This window comes from Homo sapiens, chromosome 7, assembly GCF_000001405.40.
Source record: "Homo sapiens chromosome 7, GRCh38.p14 Primary Assembly".
Classification (NCBI taxonomy): Eukaryota; Metazoa; Chordata; class Mammalia; order Primates; family Hominidae; genus Homo; species Homo sapiens.
Window position 1 is genome coordinate 48,156,670 of NC_000007.14, and position 22,518 is coordinate 48,179,187.

Here is a 22,518-nt window from a genome sequence, read left to right on the forward strand (position 1 = left end):
GGAGTGGTAAGGACAGAGCTTGACAGCCATGGATTTAAGGTGGATAGAATAAAGAGTTGTGGACAGAAACAATATACACTTGATCTTAGCTAAAAGGTGGAGAAGCAATGACAGAAGATTGACAATTATTTTGAAGAATTCTGATGTTAATAAAGATACAGTGCAGTACTTGGAGGAACTGATTTTTATTGTATGGTAGCAATCTTAGCGTGTTTGTGTGCTCATTAAAGGGTGTAAAACTGATGATCCTGCAAAGGGTACGAGATGCAGCCAGTGCAGCAGGGGGGAGCTGTCTTTAGGTAGGGACAAAGTGAGTCAAGCCATTGTGTCAGGAGGGAAGGCAGATGGTGTTAGTAAAGACGAGGCAAGCTGGTCCATTTGGTGGAGGGATTCTGTGAAAGTTTTATTCTAACTGCCTCTGTTTACTCAGTGAAATATCAAGCCTTAGTTTTTGCATTTGTAAAATAAAACATGTAATACCTACCTATTTTATTGGTTTAGTGAGCATCACAGAGGGCCCATTTAAACATATTTTGGAAATTGCAAGACATTGTACAAATATAATCATTGTCATTGGCTTTGATAAAGTTGTTCCCTCTCTTTGGATATCGATGTTTTCTTCCTGAGGTCCTCAGGATTCTAGAATGTTGATTTGGGAGGCATCAGCTCCTCACCGCCCTAGCCTGACAACAACTCCTTTAGGGTGAATTCTCTTCCCTCATCCTTACACTGAAGGAATGGTAATCCATAAGTCCTATTGCTAATTGAATTTTAGATTTTGCATTATATTCTGCCATCCTATGCTTTCAAATTAGACCTAGAGGCTCTGACACCAGAGTAAACAGACATTGCATTTCATATTCTCACCTGGAGAAATACAATTTTGCTTGAATGGAAGATGCAAGGAGCATGGTTTAAACCTCAGATTCTCTCAAAGAGATGAAAAGGAGAATTCTACTCAATGCCCTTAAAATCTAGGTGTTGGCAACTTTCCTTTCAATGGATAAAAGTAATTGTTAGTAGACTTTTGAGGATTTCTTTTAAATTTTCTTAGCTCAGTGGACACTAAATAGCATTAAAAGTTGAAAACCACTTGTCCCTATCCATTTATTATCTTTTGAAGAGACATTCTTTAGACAGAAGTTGAAATTATGTTTTTTTATTAGTGTAAGAAGGGAAACTAATTCAGATTAATGAGAAATTACAGAAATTAGCAAGAGAGAATTTCAGCATCAGAAAAAAGTAAGTTATTTAAATTACCTTTGAGGCGATTATTTTCAAGATTTATAAATTACAATTAAATATGAAGCATTTGAGTCATGAAAGTTCTTTAAGCTATGAAACTTCTAATTGCTTATTGCCCCTAATTTTAATAAAGCTTTTTAACAGAGACAAAGAGGCAATTTTACCTGAAAACACGGAATATTTTACTTACAACTTTGAAACCACATTACCATAACCTTTCAAAGGAATCAGTCAAGTGTTTCTTGATCATCTCATGCATTCAAGTCGATTGCATGCTCATCTGACAGTTTGCTAGGCTCTTTGGGAACCACTCAGCTCTGACCAACTCAATTTATGTTTGAAACTTATTCCATCCAAGCAGCATTAGACTTAAGTGTAGCTGGGAAAGAGATAAGTTAGATTTGGCCTGCAGGGGCCTTTGTTCTTCATTCCTTTCTTTCCTGGATTAAGCCCTCCTTTCTTCCTTCCCTCTCTGGTCTGTGCGGGGCTTCATGTACTCTTACCCATCCACTTCTCTAAGGAATAAAACCTCCATTCAAATAATCAAGTAGAATGGCTTCAGTTTGAAAAGGTGGGGGGTGGTAGAGGGGCAAAAAAGAGCAGAGACTGGGAGCAAGTTTTGTTATTAGTCATAAAGCCAAATGTTACTTTTGTAAACCAATATGAGATGTCTTGTGAGAAAGCACCAGTAGACATGGAATTCTGATTTACAATGACTGATGCATGAGGCATGCGGTCTGTCCTACACAGATAATTTGTGATTCTGTAGTGAGTATAGAGGGACCGGTTCTCCTCTGAGGGAAATTCAGCTTTAGACATGATTTCCAAAAAGTTCCATCCTCTGGATCCTTTCATATAAAGACTTTTCTGCTAACTCCATGGTTTTCTCAGCGCCTTTCAGGGTCAAAGGAATTCCCTGATCTAGGTAAGGTGTGAGCATCAACCTTAAATTCCTTAGTAAGACTCATCTTCAGGCACCCAAATGCAAGTTTAGGTTGCACATCCCCTTTTTAACCCCTTTGTGTTAGTCCGCTAGGGCTGCCATAACAAAATACCGCAAACTGGGCAGCTTAAACAAGAGAAAACTATTTTCTCACAGTTCTGGAAGCCAGAAGCCCAAACTCAAGGTGCCACTAAGGTTGGTTCCTGGTGAGGCCTCTCCTCCTGACTTATAGCTGGCCACCTTCTAGCTATGTCCTCACATAGCCTTTCCTCTGTGTGTGTCCACTCCTGCTCTCTCTTCTTTTCCTGTAAGGACACCAGTCTTATCAAATTAGGTAAGACTAAGCTTTATGATCTCATTTAACTTTATTGACTTCCCTAAAGGCTCCATATGCAAATACAGTCACATTGGGGGTTAGGGCTTCAACATTAAATTTTTTGGGGAAGGCAATTCAGTCCATAACACCCTCCTTCCCTTCTTGGACTCTTCTTGTGATATAGGTTTCATAGTAAATGTCTCATTTCCTAATCACCGTTGAACTAGCAAACCTTCGCTTTTGTGCATTATAGTAGAAGAGAGACTGATGACCTTGCTTTCGTGGCTTTCTCCTTTGATTGTCATGGCTGCATATGGACTTTTAATGCTTTCCTCTTTGCACATCATCCACTGAGTAGAGAGTTGTGGAAGAGGTGGTTGCTGAGGCAGGTGGCTGACATCAGGGAAGATGGCAAGAAGTGAGTCAGTCTTGGGATGGAAGAATCTGGGAGCAGGTAGCATTAGGAGAATGAGGGTTGTATTAAGTATTTAGTCACATTTCATCCATGGTGTTCTCTTCATGTTGTACTGATTGAAACGATAAAGCTGTGGATGGCCAAGGTCACGCTGGTCATTAACTGCAGGTTGGACCTGGAACTCCCACCTGGATGATTCCAGTGCCAGAACCTGACTTCCCTTGGAAATCCAGCTACTTACTATTCCCCAAACCTCCCACCTCCACTTTTTCACTACCCTTGGCTTCTCCTCCTTCTCTCCTTCTTTGAATTATGTCATCATTAATTCCTTTGTACTTTTTCCATGTCTCAGCCCCTGCCAAAGGCCCTTATTCCCTTCTCCTTGGACAGTTGTGATAGCCTTCTTCCTGCTGGCCTTCCTGCCTCTAAGCTGTGCTAAAGGGGAGGTGGATAGTTGAGATGGTTATTTACAGAGAAAGGGAAGGACAGAAAGCAGGGCTCCCAGGATTCTCTATGGACAAATTCTGTTCTCTTTCAGCCACTTGTATCAGTGAGGCATCTTAGTGAGATAAGAGAGACAGAGAGACAGAGAGAGAGAGAGAGGCAGATGCTCCTTCCTGATGACCATGGCAGGCCGGCCTCAAATCCTGACTCAGCCATTCCCCTAGAAGCTGGTTTTTATGAACCATTTGGTGGACTATGTATCAACAGGATCAACAAGAAAAATACAAGTTAATGTTGCATATTATAAAGAGATAAATTTTAATGTAGAAAACTTCTATAGGTGATGGAAGAGCCAAGAAGCCAGGGAGGCAATGGTGAAGTGACTCAGAAATCGGCAATTAGGGTAACAAATGGCCAATGGGGGCTCCAGGCTGGAGGAACAAGGGCAGGAGATGGAACTGCTGCAACTCAGGGTCACTTATGCAGGCTGGAGCCCTGACAGGGAAGGGAAGTGCAGGGGGAAGGATGGAGGGTGGAGGAGAGGAGACAGGGAAGAGAATTTCTCTAGAGAACTCTGCCACACTGGCCGCTTTAACTCACTAACACCCACACACAACTGGCTCAGCTCAGGGCTGCTTGTTTCTGCTCACCAAGGAGCCCACCAGATGCTCTTTGCTCAGGGGGTTTTGACACATGTGGGGTTCCAGGGCCCAGGCTGCTTCAATCTTGTTCTGCCATCCCCTAGGGCCTCTAATGGAGAGAGGAGAACATTGACTGACACTGAGGGCCTGGACTTGGAAGTGACAACGGTATTCCCCTCACCTTCAGTGGCAAGAGTGAGCCACTTGGCCCAGTGCAAGGGGGCTAGGAAGTCCCTTGCTGAGCATCGCCCTGGGCAGCGGCTCAGCACTGTGTGAGGAGAGTGCCATCCTAAGGGACATTGGTCACCTCTGCCTCATGGCTTAGATACTATTTTGCTTGTGAAGGAAACCAAAATATTTCATATATATATATATATATATATATATATATATATATTTGGAAATATTTAGAGATAGCTATTCTGAGGGACTGGAAATACAAGAGTAGCAGAAAAGCTGTCCTTCTTGGGAAGAGCTGTATCTGTGGAGAAATTCTGCATCCCCCTTCTTGGGGTAAACAGAACTTACAGTGTCTTTTATCTAGTCTGCCAGGCTGCCTGGTTGCTCCCTCAGGAATAACCTCCTATGTGTCTGGATCATATAAAACTGTCTGCAGTTGCTCAGTGTTGAGATGTGGGTCCCACATCAATCCAAATGTATGCTTTTCTGCTCTGTAACATTTAAAACCAAAGATACTGCCCCTAAATTGGTCACTCTTGTAATCCATTTTAGTAAAGATGTCTCAGGAAGCTGATATTACTGATCTACAAAATGGAACAATTCCTTCACACTATACCATTTGGTTTCAATAGTTAGTTGGTTCGCCCTTCCTTCATATTGATTATTTTCTTGGTAACCACAAGTCTCAGAGGTACTTTCTGTTGTTCCTGCATAATATTTTCCTTTGTTGTTGACTTTGAGGCTAGAATCCTGAGCTCAGATGGACCACATCTGAGTTTGATCCAGCTTCAAGTTCTGACTCAGCACCCTCTTTTACTTTCATTTTAGCCATTATAGATAACAGTCACCAAAAGATTGAATATTTTTTTTTTCCTTATTAGTTTGCATTTCCTTATGTATCCAAAGAAACAATTCCTGGAGAGTAGGATCCATCTCTAAATTCCATTGGTAACTTTCACCTTTAGTAATTGATCTCAACATAGCTGTGGCTTTATAACATGGGTGACCACCTGGCTACCCAGGAATCAAATATTCCTCATCCCCCACTCTTTTATCCTTTCTCTTCCCAAGCCACATGTTTCCATGAGTCAGTGCCATTCCAATAAATCCCACTTCACTCACCAATTGTGTAGAGAAAAACTTTTCTCAAACTGCATGTTCCCTCCACTCTCACACCACATTAGTGATCAACACAGAAGACTTCTGTGACCAAATGTGTGGGTATTTTTTTTCCCAAACACCAAGGAGAAGACAGCAGCTAAGTGTCCTTTAATTTAGTTCTGACACTGTCTACTCAGAGATAGTGTCAGATCCCACAGGTTGAAGGCTCAGTCTCTGAGACTGCCCCTCTATACACACCAGTTGCAAGTCCAGGCATCTGGAACTTCTGACTGACCAGCTTTATGTTGGGGTTCCCATGACCCTCTCTTTGGGTTCAGTTAATTTGCTGGAGTGGCTCACAGAATTCAGGGAAACACTTATGTTTACTGGTTTATTATAAAGAATATTGCGAAGGATACAGATAAAGAGACACATAGAGGAAGGTATAGGGGAAGGGACATGGAGCTTTCATGCCCTCCCTGGGTGCCACCCTCCAGGAACCTCCACTGTCTAACTGTCCAGAAGCTCACTGAACCTCTTCCTCTTGGGTTTTTATGGAAGCTTCAAGAAATCAGCATTCATTCCCCCAGTGTATAGTATGGGACCTTCTCATGGGAGGGTCTTAAGATCCACAGTCAGAAAGACAGGGGAACATTAGAGTAAAAGGAGGGCAGGAGAAAGTAAGAGGCCTGTCCCTGAGGCCTAACACACCCAACATTATGAGAAAAGACTGTAACAAGGGCTATGGGAGTTATGATCCAGGAACTGTGGACAAAAACCAATGTATATCATAACACCACACTGCCAAAGTAAGCTTAATAAGTGAAGGAGAAATAAAATCTTTTCTAGACAAGCAATTGCTAAGGGAATTCATTGCCACTAGACCAGCCTTACATGAGGTCCTTAAGGGAGTTCTAAACATAGAACTCAAAGAATGATACCTAATACTATGGAGTTGGTTCCTTTCAGTGAGTTCTTGGTCTTGCTGACTTCAAAAATGAAGCTGTGGACCTTTGCGGTGAGTGTTACAGCTCTTAAAGGTGGCATGGACCCAAAGATTGAGCAACAGCAAGATTTACTGTGAAGAGCGAAAGAACAAAGCTTCCACAGCATGGAAGGGGACCGCAGCAGGTTGCCGCTTCTGGCTGGGGTGGCCAGCTTTTATTCCCTTATTTGTCCCAGCCCATGTCCTGCTGATTGGTCCATTTTACAGAGTGCTGATTGGTCCATTTTACAGAGTGCTGATGGGTCCATTTTACAAACCTCTAGCTAGCCACAGAGCACTGATTGGTGCGTTTTTACAGAGCACTGATTGGTGCATTTTACAAACCTCCAGCTAGCCAGAGTGCTGATTAGTGCATTTTACAATCCTAGCTACAGAGCGCTGATTGGTGCATTTTACAATCCTCTTGTAAGACAGAAAGAAAAGTTCTCCAAGTCCCCACCCAACCAAGAAGCCCAGCTGGCTTCACCTCTCAATACCACAGAAACACACTTAAGTACATAGCCCACAGGCTCTATAAAGCAACTACACAGTCAAGACCACAAAGCAACCAGTGACCAACTTTACAACAGGATCAAAACCTCACATATCAATATTAACTTTGAATGCAAATAGTCTAACACCCCACTTAAAAGACACAGATTGGCAACTTGGATAAAAAACAAGACCCAACCATCTGTTGCCTTCAAGAGACGCATCTCATATGTAATGACACACATAGGTTCCAAGTAAAGGGTTGGAGAAAGATCTATCACACAAACAGAAAACAATAAAGAGCAGGGGTTGCTATCCTTATAACAGATAAAACAGACTTTAAACCAACAACAGTAAAAAAGGACAATGAAGGGCATTACATTATGATAAAAAGTTGAATTTCATGTGAAGACTTACCTATCCTAAATATATGTACACTCAACACTGGAGTACCCAGATTCATAAAACAAGTACTTCTAGATCTAGGAAAAAACTTAGAAAAATACACTGCAATAGTTGCAGACATCAGCACCCCCCTGACAACATTAGATCATTGAGGGAGAAAACTAACAAGGAAATTCTGGACTTAAACTTGATGCTTGACAAATTGGACCTAATAGACATTGATAGAATACAGCACCCAACAGCTAGAGAATATACAATCTTCTCATCTATACATGGAACATACTCTAAAATTGACCACATGCTACGTCATAAAGCAAATATCAATAAATTTAAAAAAATGGAAATCAAACCAAGCATATTCCTGGACTATAGTGGAATAAAAATAGAAATCAATACCAAGAAAATCTCTAAACCAGAGGTACCCAACCTTTTTGGCATCAGGGACTGGTTTTATGCAAGACAACTTTTCCACAGACTGGGGGAAGTGGGGATATTTTTGGGATGAAACTGTCCCACCTCAGATCATCAGGCATTAGATTCTCATAAGGAGTATGCCACCTAGATCCCTCACATGTGCAGTTCACAATAGGGTTCACACTCCTGCGAGGCTCTAATGCTGCTACTGATTTGACAGGAGGCAGAACTCAGGTGGTAATGCTTACTTGCCTGCTGCTCACCTCCTGCTTCGTGACCTGGAGTTGGGGGAAGTTGGAGACCCTTGCTCTAAACCACATGATTACATTGAAATTAAACAACTTGTTCCTGAATGACTTCTGGTAAACAATGAAATTAAGGCAGAAATTAAAAAAAATTCTTTGAAATAAATGAAAACAGACACAACATTTGCCTGGGATGTAGCAAAAGCAGTGTTAAGAGGAAAGTTTATAGTGCTAAATGCCTACATCAAGAAGTTAGAAAGATCTGAAATTAACAACTGAACATTGTTCTTAGAGAAACTAGAAAAACGAAAGCAAACTTCAAAGCTAGCAGTAGAAAATAAAAAACTGAAATCAGAGTAAAACCCATTGAAATTGAGACCCTAAATCCACATGAAGGATCAATGAAATAAAAAGTTGGTAATTTGAAAGGATAAACAAGATTGATAGACTGCTAGCTAGATTAACAAAAGAAGAGAAGAGAGATCTAAATAAGCAGAATCAGAAATGACACTGCAACCAATCCTACAGACATACAAAAGACCCTCAGAGAATATTATGAACACCTCTATGCACACAAACTAGAAATTCTAGAAAAAATGGATAAATTCCTGGGAACACATAACCTCTCAAGATTGAATCAGGAAGAAATAGAAACCCTAAACAGACCAACAGCAAGAATGAGTTCCAAAATTGAATTAGTAATAAAAAACCAACTAATCAAACACAAACAAAAAAAACCCCTGGACCAGATGGATTCGCAGCTGAATTCTGCCAGGCCTACAAAGAAGAGCTGATACCAGTTCTGCTGAAACTATTCCAAAAATCACAGAGGAAGGATTCTTCCTTAACTCATTCTGCAAAGTCAGCATCATTCTGATACCCAAATCTGGAAAAGACACAATGATAAAAGGAAAGTTCAGGTCAATATCTCTAATCAATACAAATGCAAAAATCGTCAACAAAATACTAGCAAATCAAATCCAGCAGCACAGCAAAAAGTTAATTCACCACAATCAAGTAGGGATTATTCCTGGGGTGCAAGGATGATTCAACATATGTAAGTCAACAAATGCAATTCACTACATAAACAGAATAAAAAACAAAGTATATGATTAACTCAGTAGATGAAGAAAAAACTTTTGATGCAATACAACATCCCTTTATGATAAAAACCCTCAAAAAACTAGGCATCAAATGAACATATCTCAAAATAATAAGAGCCATCTATTACAAACCCACAGCCAACATACTGAATGAGCAAAAGCTGGAAGCTTTCCTCTTAAAAAGTGAAGTGAAACAAGGATGCCCACTCTCACTAAAGCTATTCAATATAGTACTGGAAGTCTTAGCCAGAGCAATCAGGAAAGAGAATGAAATAAAACGTATCCAAATAGGAAAAAAAATAAGCCAAATTATCTCTCTTTGTTGATGATTGATATGATTCTATACCTAGAAAACTCCAAAGGCTACTTCTACTAATAACTTCAATAAAGTTTCAGGATACAAAATCAATGTAAAAAAATCAGTAGCATTTCCATACACAAATAATATTCAAGCTAAGATCCAAATCAAGTATACAATCTCATTTACAATAGCCACAAAACCCAAAATAACTAGAAATACTCCCAACCCAAAGGTGAAAGATCTCTACAAGGAGAACTACAAAACACTGCTAAAAGAAATTATAGATGACACAAACAAATGAAAAAACATTCCATGTTCATGAATTGGAAGAATCAATATTGTTTAAAATGGCCACACTCCCCAAAGAAATCTATAGATTCAGTGCTATGCCTATCAAACTACCAATGTCATTTTTTACTAAATTAGAAAAAAACTATTATAAAATTCATATATAATCAAAGAAGAGCCCGAATAGACAAAGCAATCCTAAGCAAAACAAAGCTGGAGGCATCACATTACCCCACTTTAAACTATACTGCATGTGTATACTAACCAAACAGCATGGTACTGGTATGAAAACAGACCCATAGACCAATGAAACAAAATAGAGAACCAGAAATAAAGCTGCACACCTACAGCCATCTGATCTGTGACAAAGTCAACAAAAATAAGCAATGAGGAAAGGACTCCCTATTAATAAATGCTGCTGGAATACACCTGCAATACCTGCCTAGCCATACACCAAAGAAAATAACTGGACCTCCACATTTCACCATATACAAAAACTAACTCAAGATAGATTAAAGATTTAAATGTAAGACCTCAAACTATAATAATCCCAGAAGAAAACCTAGGAAACCCCATTCTGGACATTGGCCTTCAGAAAGAATTTATGACTAAGTCCTCAAAAGAGACTGCAACCAAAAAAAAAAAAATTGACAAGTGGGACTTAATTAGACAAAAAATATTTTGCACAGCAAAAGAAACTATCAACAGAATAAAGACGCACCATACAGAATGGGAGAAAATATTTGCAAACTACGCATCTGGTAAAGATCTAATATGGAGAATCTATAAGGAACTTAAACAATTGAAAGAGAAAAAAAAATTGTAAAGTGGGCAAAACATGAACAAACCCTGCTCAAAAGGAGACATACAAATGGTCAATAAACATATTAAAAAGTGCTCCTCATCACTAACCATTAGAGTGATGCAAATCAAAACCACAATGAGATATCAACTCACATCAGTCAAAATGGCTATTATTAAAAAGTCAAAAAACAACAGATGCTGGCCAGGCTTGGAGAAAAGGGAACACTTAGTTTGTTGGTGGGAATGTAAATTAGTTCAGCTACTGTAGAAAGCAGTTTGGAGGTTTCTCAAATAACTGAAAACAGAACTATCATTCAATCCAGCAATCTTATTACTAGGTATTCATCCAAAAGAAAATAAATGTTCTATCAAAAAACACACACTTGTATGTTCATTGCAGCACTATTCACAACAGCAAGACATGGAATAAACAAAGATCCCCATCAATGGTGGAACAGAAAAAGAAAATGTAGCACACATACACCACGGAATAGTACACAGCCATAAAAAAGAATAAAATCATGTCTTTCACAGAAACATGGATATAGTCGAAGGCTATTATCCTAAACAAATTTGTGCAAGAAGAGAAAACTAAATACTGCATGTTCTCACCTCTAAGTGGGAGCTAACCATTGGGTACTTATAGGCATAAAGATGGCAACAATAGAAACTGGTGCTACTAGAGGGGGAGGGAGAGAGGGAGCAAAGGCTGGAAAACTTAACTATTAGGTACTATGAAGAGTACCTGGTTGAGATAAATCATACCCCAAATCTCAGCATCGTGTAATACACCCAGAGAGCAATTCCGCATGTGTAACTCCTGAATCTAAAATAAAAATGGACATTATTTTTTAAAAAGAACAGGAAAGAAACAAAACAAAATGAAACAAAAATGCTATCATCTCCCTACAACTAAATTTATGTAACTAAAGCACAAACTAGAATTTAAAAAAATGTAAATACCAAACTCATAGCATTTCTGATGATGAATTTTATGTGTCAACTTGATGGGGCCACAGGATTTCTAAATATATGGTCAAATATTATTCTGGGTGTATCTGTCAGTGTGTTTTGGATGAGATTAATATTTGAATTTGTAGACTGAATATAGCAGACTGCCCTCCCTAATGTAGGTTGGCATCATCCAATCAGCTGAAGGCCTGAATAGAACAAAAAGGCTGATCCTCCCCAAGTAAGAGAATTTTTCCTGCCTGATGACCTTTAAATTGAGACCTCAGCTTTTTTTCTGCCTTCAGACTTGAATTGAAGCCTTGGCTCTTTGGGGTTATTAAATATGCTGGCCTTTAGATGGCACCGATTGCTTTCTTGGTTCTCAGGCTTTTAGACTCTGACTAGAGCTACACCATTGTCTCTCCAACTTGCTACACCATTATCACCAAGTTGCTGACTCACCTGCAGATCTTGGGACTTGCCCAGCTCCATAACTGCTTATGCCACTTCCTTATGGTAAATTTCTTTAGATATATAAATATGCATATGATTCTGTTTCTCTGGAGAACCCTAATACGTATTTTGGTACTAAGAATAATTCTGGAGGAAGAGAATCTTAAGGATAAACTTAAATAGGTTCTGAGGTTTCTGGGATTGAATCTCTAATCTGATTAGATTTAAAGACTATTGACTCTATTTCTAATAAAGAGAAAATTGGTGGTCCATGACATGATGTGGCAGTAGAGATGCACAAAATATCACCACTAGATGCTTCTAATCAAACACTTAGAAGAAGCAAGGGTCTGGATGATCTTGTATTTGATACTTTCCAACATTTTTGTCAAACTCATGAGTAAAATGAGGTTGACTGGTTGCTTCTAGTGTTGGTGGACAAAGTGGAAAAAGAAAAGGATGACCTCAGGGGTCAAATTCCCAGCTGAAGTGCTGCATAAATGACCTGAAAGTTTCTAAGTGTGTCCCCGAAAGAGACCCTTATTTCCTGTAGTTGCAGGGCTGAGATTGCAGAAAATCAAACCAGAATCTCATCTTGCAACTGACTGAATTACAATGCAATTTGACTGCTAGTCTTGTAGGGTGTCTACTATTAAAGTAAAGGCATTGATTTGGAGGGAATGCGGTGCTGAAAGTTGGAATGGAGATATGTGGGAAGACCCTGATGAAGCTGGAGACACTGAGCCCCTAAATAACGTCTTCTTTGTTATGTGGAAGAGATCTCCACACTCAAGTGGAGGCATTTTCCCCAGTCCTAGTGGAAGTAGTCTCTTACCCCATGTCTGAGGGGATCAACCCTGCCTTGCCTAAGAAAACTATAATGTCCTACCATGAGGCAGTTGCCATGCAAGGCGCTTCTGCTTCTCCTCAGAACCCACTCCCACCATTCCTCGTTCATTTCAGACCTATAACTAGATTCAAGTCCCAGCAGCACCCAAAGGGGAGATATAAGGTATAAACCATGAGGAAGTGTGCTATACATCAAATGGACAATTTGAGTTTTCTAATGTATACAAGCAGAAATCTGGGGAATATGTGTGGAAATGGATATAAGGGTATGGGATAATGATGGAAGGAACATAAAATTGTATCAGGCCAAATTTGCTAATATGGGGTCACTAAGCAGTTATTCTGCATTTAATATGGCAGCTCATGGAGTTAGGAAGGGCTCTAATTGCTTGTTTGTTTTCTTGGCTGAAACACGGAACAAAAGATAGCATTATTCTGGGAGTTTCTGCAAGGGTGTTTATAAATGACATTAATATTTAAGTAGGTAGACTGAATTCAGCAGATGGCCCTCCCTAGTGTGAGTGGGTCTCATCCAATTAGTTGAAGACCTAAACAGAACAAAAAGTCTGACTTTCCCCTAAGTTAGATAATTATTTCTGTCTGATGGCCTTCATACTGGGACATTGGCTTTTTTTTGTTTTCTGCCTTCAGACTTTATGGAAATACCAGCTTGTCCTGGGTCTCAAGTTTCCCAGTCTTTGGATGGCAACTACACCATTGGCTCTCCTGTTCTCAGGTCTTTGGACTCGGACTGGAACTATATCATTGGCTTCCTTGGGTCTCTGACTTGCTAATTCACCTTGCAGATCTTAGGACTTGCCCACCTCCATGACTGTGTGAGCCTATTCCTTATAATCAATCAATCAATCGATCAATGAATCACCCATTGGTTCTGTTTATCTGAAAATCCTAACACAGCATTGTTCCATGAAAGCAATGGATGAGATAATTTTTGTGTCTCTGACATAATTCTGGCATAGCAGCATAAAAACTGGCTGCTATGAACATAACATGAGAAAAACCTTATGGTTGGAGGCTTTTTCTTATACTAGATTTTTAAAAATTATGACAATTACTTGTAAGGTGTTCTAGATGTTATCTGCAAAGAGAACCAGAGTAGCAATACTTAGGCAACCCCAAAGACCTTTGAGAAGTCACAGGTCAAGGGGGAACATCATATGGGGATCAGGCAAATCCACTTATGGTTGCTGGGCGCCATCCTGCTAAGTAATGGCCTTCACTCTAGTGCTGCCAGCCATGTAACAAAAAATAAAATAAAATAGGCATGCTCTAAACAAATAAGTTTACAAAATAATTGAGTCAGTTTCTTTGCTGAAGCCTGTGTTCCCTGTTTCCTATTGCAAAAGCCATTTATCAAGCATTCACAGCTTGTGAAAATTGCTTTATGAAATAGAAGACCACAAGACTGGGTTGCCTGAAATCCTTCTGACCACAACTGGGGGCAACAGGAACTCAAGAGGGCCTGGCTTCCAAGACGATGGAGCCACCAGCTGGCAAGCTGAATCCATCATGCCACTTAGAAAGTGCAAGTGTTCAGGAATCAAACAGGACTCAGAGGTAATCCACAGGCCACTTGCTGAGTCCTGCCACATCTGCACCCGATACCATTTGAAACGTAGATCCTGATCCCTTTGGAGGAAATGGGTGAAGGAGAAGTATGAAGTGCAGGTGCAGTAGCAGAGTGGAACTTGAGTCACCCATTCCCCAAACTCCCCCAGACACCAACACTGCTTCCATCTCCTTCCCTTCAAACTCTCTGCCATGGGACCACCAAAATTGAAATATTTTGGCAAATTTGTGTAATAACCAATGCTTCAGAAGAAAAAAGGAAAATTCCATCTAATTAATATCCAGAAAAAAAGGGAGGTAAATGGTAAATGTGGGCATTACTTCTTGTCGCACAGATCAGTTCTGTGGGTTCTCGGAAAGGGAGGGCACCCTCTCTGTGTATGTGTGTATGCCCGAGAAAGTCCCTGAAGGCAGCTTTCTGTAATTCAACCCTCCTGAAACACTGAACAGCTAGTGAAAAGATTTCTCAGCAGATGCCGAACAAGAGGGGACATCTGATGCCTGTTTTATTCAGTCACCAGTAATCTCTCTTGCATCACTCACTTTTGTTAGAATTGACTAATAGGCAACATGCCTTCACTTGAGCCCAGCAGATATAAGCACCATCCTTACAGGCTGGCTTCCTGACTGAGAGCAGGGAGCAGCAGGCATGGGGCATGCCGGGTGCCAGTTCAAAGCCCTGCTGTGGAAGAATTGGCTCTGCAGACTCAGGAACCCGGTGAGTGCTTGCCTTGGTTTTCCATAGGGTTCCAGTGAGGTCTGGAGCAAGATCAGGGTCTATTCTTTCCTGCCTGCCTCTGCCTCCTGGCAGGTAAAAACACTCATGCTGCAGGGAATTTGGGGAGGTTGGATTATTTTAAATCAAAACCCGTCCCAAGGGCCAAAGTAGCTGAACACTTTAATGACCAGGATGAAATCAAGGCTGAAGAATTTATCAGAAAAGGGCAAATTTAGAAAAATTCTAAAAACAAACAAACAAAAAAGCAGGTGGAATTGAACTATAATTTGTGTTCTAAGCATTCGTTGTAAAAACTGAACAGTGAATTCTCAGGTTTAAGGAACAAAGCATTTGCTGCATTTAATGCATAAGCAGAATGCTACAGGTACTGACTCCGAAGCACAAGACTGCACAGTGTGCCTCACCAGAGCAGGGTATGACACATCCACTCTGTTATTCTGTAGGGTCACCATCTTTAGTGTTAATTCACATCTATTTAGAACTGTATTCAAATTACATTAGCAAGGTTTTCCTAAGGAGATTGGAATTGTTCAAATGAAACTTGTGTGAATACTTATGCAAATATCCTGTAAGTGTACGTTTTTGTGAAATAGAAATCAATTGCTTGTTATTATGACTAACTTTATTCCTGATGCCACTATATAAACATTAATACCTATAAATGTCATTTTCAGGAGAAGTAGATGTGCAGTAATTTACCTGCATCGTTTCTGATTTTAAGGTCTACAGTTAACCTATGGGAATTTTCTGCTGACAAATGCTTTGGTTTGAAGAGATTCAGTAATTGACATTGAATTACATTTTGCTGAATCCTCCGAGCCAGAATATTCTATCTCTCTGTCTTGAAATAAAATACAAGTTAAAGGAGATGTTTTCTTTTTTATGTGATCTTTAGGATCAAAATAATTTCAGTTGAAAGTTTGTACAAAAGTTTTAAGTTGGCCGGGCGCGGTGGCTCACGCCTGTAATCCCAGCACTTTGGGAGGCCGAGGCGGGCGGATCACGAGGTCAGGAGATCGAGACCATCCTGGCTAACACAGTGAAACCCCGTCTCTACTAAAAAAACACAAAAAAATTAGCCGGGTGTGGTGGCGGACGTCTGTAGTCCCAGCTACGCGGGAGGCTGAGGCAGGAGAATGGCGTGAACCCGGGAGGCGGAGCTTGCAGTGAGCCGAGATCGCGCCACTGCACTCCAGCCTGGGCGACAGAGCGAGACTCCGTCTCAAAAAAAAAAAAAAAAAAAAAAAAAAAAAAAAAAAAAAGTTTTAAGTTCAGGAATAAAGGAGTGAGACAGTCTTCATTGATTGTTAGTGTGTTCGTGTCTGTGTAGGTAGTTTTACATTTATAAACAGTGTATTTCATTGACATGTAAGTTTGTTTTAGGGAATTAGCCTATTTTCCCATGAAAGAGTGTTATGGGTGGAAGTTGGTTCCCAGGCACTGCTCTTTCTGCTTTATGCATATCTACCTCAAAACAGTTCAGTGACCGAGGTAGCCAGACTGCCTACTCCTCCTTAATGGATACTTGAGTTTTAAAAAATTTTCACAATTACTTTTGCTGCTAAGGCAAACATCCTCATCAGAAGGTTTTATTTGTTTGATAACTGTTTATTTAAAGTGGTAACTCCTGCATCCCACTTTTCTTTGACTTATTTTTCTTTAGTATTTATCATCTTGTAACACACCACAGATTTTCTTATTTGCCGATTGCCTCTGGATCCTACATTAGTATGTTACATGCATGAGAGCAGGACATTTTCCCCAATTGGTTCATCAATGTATTCTCCAGCACCCAGAACAGTGCCTGGCACACAATGGATGTTCAGTAAATATTTGTTGAATAAGTAAAAGAAGGAAGGAATAAAGCATTTATGCATCTCTGTTATGTGCCAGATAGTGGGTGAACAAGAAAAGTGAGTTCCTGGCCCACAAAGAGCTATAGTCTGTTCACAGAAAAGCAATGAAAAATGCAATTAAATATTTAATGAAACCACCTCTTGGGATATATCCTATAGATGTCCCTGCACAAATGGGAAGTGATATTTGTACAAGGTTGTTCATTATAGCAATGCCTAGAATAGCAACAGAGTAGAAACAACACAAGTGGTTCCATGCATAGAATTTGGAGCTGCCTGACTGGGTTCACATCCCAGCTCTGTCACTTACTAGTTTACTTTTTCAGGCAATTTCTTAACTTAGTTTTCTTCTCTGTAAAATGAAATTGTTTGTAAGTATTAAATGAGTTTGTACATGTAATGTGCTTGCAACAGTACCTGGTATAGGAGTGGGAGCTGTTTTCTTATTTGGTAGAAATGGGTGGCCTCAGACATCTGTGGACATGAACCGTGGGCTGTGAGGAGAGGAGGCACAGGGTAACTCTCAGTTCATGGCTTGCACAGTTGGGTTAGAACAGAACTCCAGGGGGATAAAATGTGAATATGTTTACATATCTTAATGTTATTACAGTGGAAATATTGAGGGCAGGCCCCTCTGGGTGAATGTCTTTAAACTGACCTATTTTTCACAGCATTCTCCCATTCTCCAATGATAATCTGTAGATTCTTTGTTTTTGAACTATGAAAGTGAGGTGTTGGCATGAACTGTGGAATAACCAAACTGCCTGAGTGAATAAATGGCCTCAAATACATGTTTATTTAGTGAGTAAAGCCAGGAACTATTTGTTGTAGGAAGGAAGCTTGTCTGTTTTTACATTTACTGTTTTTTTTAGCTTTTTTTTTAAATTGATGCATAATAGATGTACATAGTGTCAGCATACATGTGATAATTTAGTAATTTGTATCATTCATAAAGAGCAAATCAGTATATGCTTTTACATTTACTTTTAAAAAATCTTTCATATATTTCATGATTATAGTTTCTTCAAAAAACATCTTATTATAGATTCAAACAAAAATTTAAAAAAATAGAATAATGGATAAATAGTACCCATCATACTTATCTTAATACCTAACTCTATAGATTGTTAAAATTCTACTATTCTTGGAAAAAGTAGTTTCTTACCATTATTTTAATACCATTTATTTTTTCCTCTTGATTTTTATTTATTGTAAAAACAGTACTAAAACAAAAGATAAACATTTTAAAGTCATCTAAAATTTTATTATCCTAATTAACTTTTGTGGTCTTTTCTTATCCTTAGGCATACATAATGAAATATTTTTACGTAATTAAAGTCATAGCTTTTTTCCCACTTTATATTGAAGCCTAACATTTTAAAAGTTACTGTATGGTCTTCTTATTTAATGGTTTTATTGAATAACAGTTCATCAGTTGTATACACATAATTATTTGACCATTTCCTTATGTTGAGGATTAAGGTTCTTTCCAGCTCTTATTGTTATGAATAACATCATTATGCATGAAGGACACACCTTCTCCTGGATCATTTCTCTTGAATAAGTTTCCTGGAGAAGTTTCTGGGTCAAGGTAAGGAAACATTGCTTTTGGGCAGGTGGAGATCAGTTGACAATGTCTCACGGGTGACCCCATGGATAGTTCCAGTGCAATGCCATCAACATTGGCAAATATTCAGTGGCTTTGAGCCATGCTTTTCCACATGAATTTCTATTAATTTCTACATTTTATTCTAACTGTAAATCAGTCTAATTAATTACTTATTTTATTTTTATTTCTTTTAATTTTAATTTTTTTAAATTGACAGATAATAATTGCACATATTCATAGGGTACATAGTGATGTTTCAATACAAATAATGTATGGTGATCAGATCAGGGTAATGAGTATAACTGTTATGTCAAATGTTTATTATTTCTTTGTGTTGGGGACATTCAATATTCTCCTTGTAGCAATTTGAAGCTATATGATATATTATTATTATTATTTCATATGGAGTTTTGCTCATGTCACCCAGGCTGGAGTGCAATGGTGTGATCTCGGCTCACTGCAACCTCTGCCTCCTGGGTTCAAGCGATTCTCCTGCCTCAGCATCCTGAATAGCTGGGATTACAGGCGAGTGCCACCATGCCCAGCAAATTTTTGTATTTTTAGTAGAGATGGAGTTTCACCATGTTGGCCAGGCTTGCCTAGAACTCCTGACCTCAGGGGAGCCACCCGCCTTGGCCTCCCCAAGTGGTGGGATTACAGGCGTGAGCCACTGCGGTGGACCTATGTGATATATCATTGTTATTATATAGTCATCCTATAGTCATATAGAGCACTGGAACTCATTCCTCCTATCTAGCTGTAATTTTGTATCCTTTAATAAATCTATCCCTATTCTCTCCCTCTCCCTACCTTCACCAGCTACTTCTTATTTTAAAGAATTAATAACAACAACAACAACAACAACAACAACAAGAAAATCATGTAAGCCAACTGTAAGCTCCTTGGATAGCTCTTAGTTTTGCAGTCTGTTTGGGTTCTCCCATGTTTTAATATTGAACAGAGCAGCTGAGCCTGTAGCCTGTGTACTGTGGATGGTACACTTCCCCTAATCTATCCTTCAAATCATGGAGCAGTGACCATTCACAGGGTGGTTGTTGTCTCCAGGATCCTACATCTGTTGACACCTTGGATCTCTGTTCTGAATCTTGCCTCCTGTGACTGCTACTCAGTCCTTTCCTTCCCCGCCCAACTGGACAGGACTCTGATCCCTTACTCCATTAATGAAAGCTGATATCCTGTAAGTGATACCAGCTTTTTGGGTTGAGCTGGCCAATTTTACTGAAGACTTGGGCTAGTGGAGGAGGGTTGAAGCATAGTTTAATACGAGGACATCAATGTTTTAAAAAACTCATGGTTCTCTCCCAACCATGGGCTGGAAGAGGATAATGGAAACAACAAAACTACACTGGCCACAGTTTTACTAGGAACATCCTTCTGCCCATGGAAACCACATCCCAGAACCCAGCGACAGATATCCAGATGTCTACCATACATAAAGCACCGCATTCTTGATTTAAAAGGCCACAGTGATAAAATGCATACTTTCTTTTAGTCATGAATAAGAATTATGGTGTTATGCCAGGGCTCATCCTCTGACCTGGCTTGTTGGGGAATAGGGAGAAGCCTATTAGACTGTCTGAGTTCAAATGCCATCCCTCCACCAGCATTAGAAAGACCTGAGTCAGCTCACCCAAACCCAGGCTGAATCCCTGCTGGGCTCTGCCTCTGCCTATCTACCTCCTAGAGATCTACCCTGGGGCTAGGTAGGGAGCTTTCCAAGATAACTACCTTGGAAATCACTTTTTTTCCTTTAAGATGTAAAGAAACATATTCTTAAGTTTCAACTACTTTCTTTTAAGATGTAAAGAAACATGTTCTCAAGTTTCAACTACTTCAAACCTCAGAGCTTTTGTGTGTATATGTGTGTGTGTTTCTTTTCTAAAACAAAATAATCTCATTTCTTTGAGATTTTTGTCTGTTACTGTTGTTTATTTTGTCTATTACTGAAATCAGGTGCTAAAAACTGAACTTGGTGTTACAAAGAATAATTTTATTTTGCAAACACTAATCCTGCTAGCTACAATTTCTGTATTTTTCTGAAATTGAAAAAAAATTTACAGATATCAAGCCTCAGAAGTAAAGTATGTCTTATTTCTTTTGGACATTGTTTTAGAGGTTGGATTTTTGCTGGTTTTGCATAGTTACATGTTATAGCTCATCAACTATTTGTTGTCAAATTTGCTGTAAGGATTTACTAAGGGAATCAGCAGATGCCAGAAGGTAAAAGGTGAGGTGCCTGATCTCTCTCATAGTCAGGTTGGAAAAAGTCTTGAACTAACTACTCTTGAACTGCTCCTATGGCTAGAGGTCCTTGGGGTCAGGGCATCCTCACTGGCTGCGGGTCAGTAGTGGGGCTGGGGTGCTGCTGAGCAGCCACCTGCGAGCCAGTGCACTTTCTGCTCCACTTCTCAGCAGCGGCCCACACCCAGGGGCGCTCCATACACAAACCCGCTCAGCTGCAGACTCCAGCACTGCGGGACAAGATTGGCAGTGAGAGGCGAGAGGGTTCTCAGGTGGTGTAGGAGCCCTTGAACTATTCTCGTTTCCAGCACTTACACGGAGGTGACACATTTCTTGCGATTAGGCCACACGGATGACTGACATGATGGCTTCTCCCTCTCTGGCTGCAGTCATACAGTAGTGCAGGTGAGATGGAACTCCTGATAACTCGAAGCTCCCACCAAGGGCTCTTTAATAAAATGTAGAGTAATTCAACTTCTGTTTGGCTAGATGAGAAGATAAAGTTGATAATCTTCCTACTTGTCATTAAATCGGGAGCCTGTGGGATCTTGGGGCTTGGCCTGGGCTTCCCTGGCCTTCAGGACTCGCCTTAGGCTGAACCCTGGGAGGAAACTGCCTCAGCCACTGCCAGGCCACTGAGGGCCATTTGAGTGTGTCTCAGGTTTGCTAAGAGCAGTGATCTAGGAAAAGCAGTTCAGAAACCGAATTAATAAAAGCAAACCTCCCTTTGTATTTTTTTTAGCATGGGCTGGCCTCTGCTAAGCTGTTTGGGGTTGGTTGGTTTTTCCTAATTCACAATCATGGTATCAGCAGTGCCTTTTCTTTAATTTCAATTGATCTGAATTTGCTTCTAAACCTTTAATTTTAGCTTTATTTTCCTCCTACACCCTCTCTCAAAGCACTAGTGATTAAATAGACAACCAAATATATATTAAAAAAACAATTTTGAAGGGCAGTGAGGGAAATGCTTTGAAGGGCAGTGAGGGAACACTTGCAGTGAAAGCATCTCAGTGTTTCTTTAAGAGTCTGGCTGTGCGGTGAGCATCTCTTTTGTCCTGCATCATTGCCTGAGTTTAAGAATGTGAGAATAGTGGCCGGGCATGGTGGCTCACACCTGTAATCCCAGCACTTTGGGAAGCCGAGGAGGGCGGATCACCTGAAGTCAGGAGTTTGAGACCAGCTTGGCCAACATGGTGAAACCCCATCTCTACTAAAAATACAAAAAATAGCCTGGCATGGTGGCATGTGCCTGTAATCCCAGCTACCGAGGAGGCTAAGGCAGGAGAATCACTTGAATCTAGGAGGCAGAGGCTGCAGTGAGCCGAGCTCGCACCATTGCACTCCAGCCTGGGTGAAGAGCGAGACTCTATCTCAAAAAAATAAAAAAAAGTAAAATAAAATAAAATAAAATAAAATGAAAAAAAAAAGAATGTGAGATTATCCAGTCTTCTAAAGGTATGGAAAACTGACTGGATTTCAAAGACAAGCCATCCAGTTTCTCATTTACCAATTCGACTGTCAGGCTGAAAAGAGAAAATAATTCTCTCTAGGTTGCTCTTTTGCTGAAATTGTTACCAGCATATTGCAGAGAAAATTACAAGATCATCAAAAAGCTAGGTCTGGGAGATTTTATTTAGGATGGTGGATTTACGTGGCTTCTGTGCAAAACAAAAACTAATAATAATAATAATAATAATAATAATAATAATAATAATAATAATAAAAACAAAGACTTACTTTCCCAAGAGGCTTTTCCTTCTTACTTGTGAATGCAGGTCTCCTTGGGAAGCCTAGAGTTCCCTGGTAGAGTTATTTACTTTGGCCCAGATAGGCCTGGGTTTTTCAATTACAGGAAAGGTTTTAAAAACAACAAACAACAACAAAACA

The 22,518-nt window shown here is 39.8% G+C and overlaps 1 protein-coding gene across 28 annotated transcripts in view, besides 1 other annotated feature; it reads left to right on the top strand.

Moving 5' to 3' along the window:
• The window catches only part of ABCA13 (ATP binding cassette subfamily A member 13), a 476,040-nt gene continuing 468,310 nt past the window's right edge, over nt 14,789–22,518 (top strand). For all 28 annotated transcript variants that reach the window (XR_926914.3, XR_926915.3, XR_926919.3 and 25 more), the window contains exon 1: nt 14,789–14,883. Coding sequence is in view for 25 of the 28 variants with exons in the window: in XM_011515130.3 (XP_011513432.1) it covers nt 14,815–14,883 (69 nt within the window). In the remaining 3 variants the exon portion in view is untranslated. The remainder of the gene's footprint in view (nt 14,884–22,518) is intronic.
• Nucleotides 21,421–21,922: an enhancer, noted in NCBI's record as "NANOG hESC enhancer chr7:48217687-48218188 (GRCh37/hg19 assembly coordinates)". NCBI's record gives its function as "activates a minimal SCP1, AML or CMV promoter by ChIP-STARR-seq in naive and primed H9 embryonic stem cells {active_cell/tissue: H9 hESC(naive and primed)}" and the evidence as "EXISTENCE:reporter gene assay evidence [ECO:0000049][PMID:30033119]".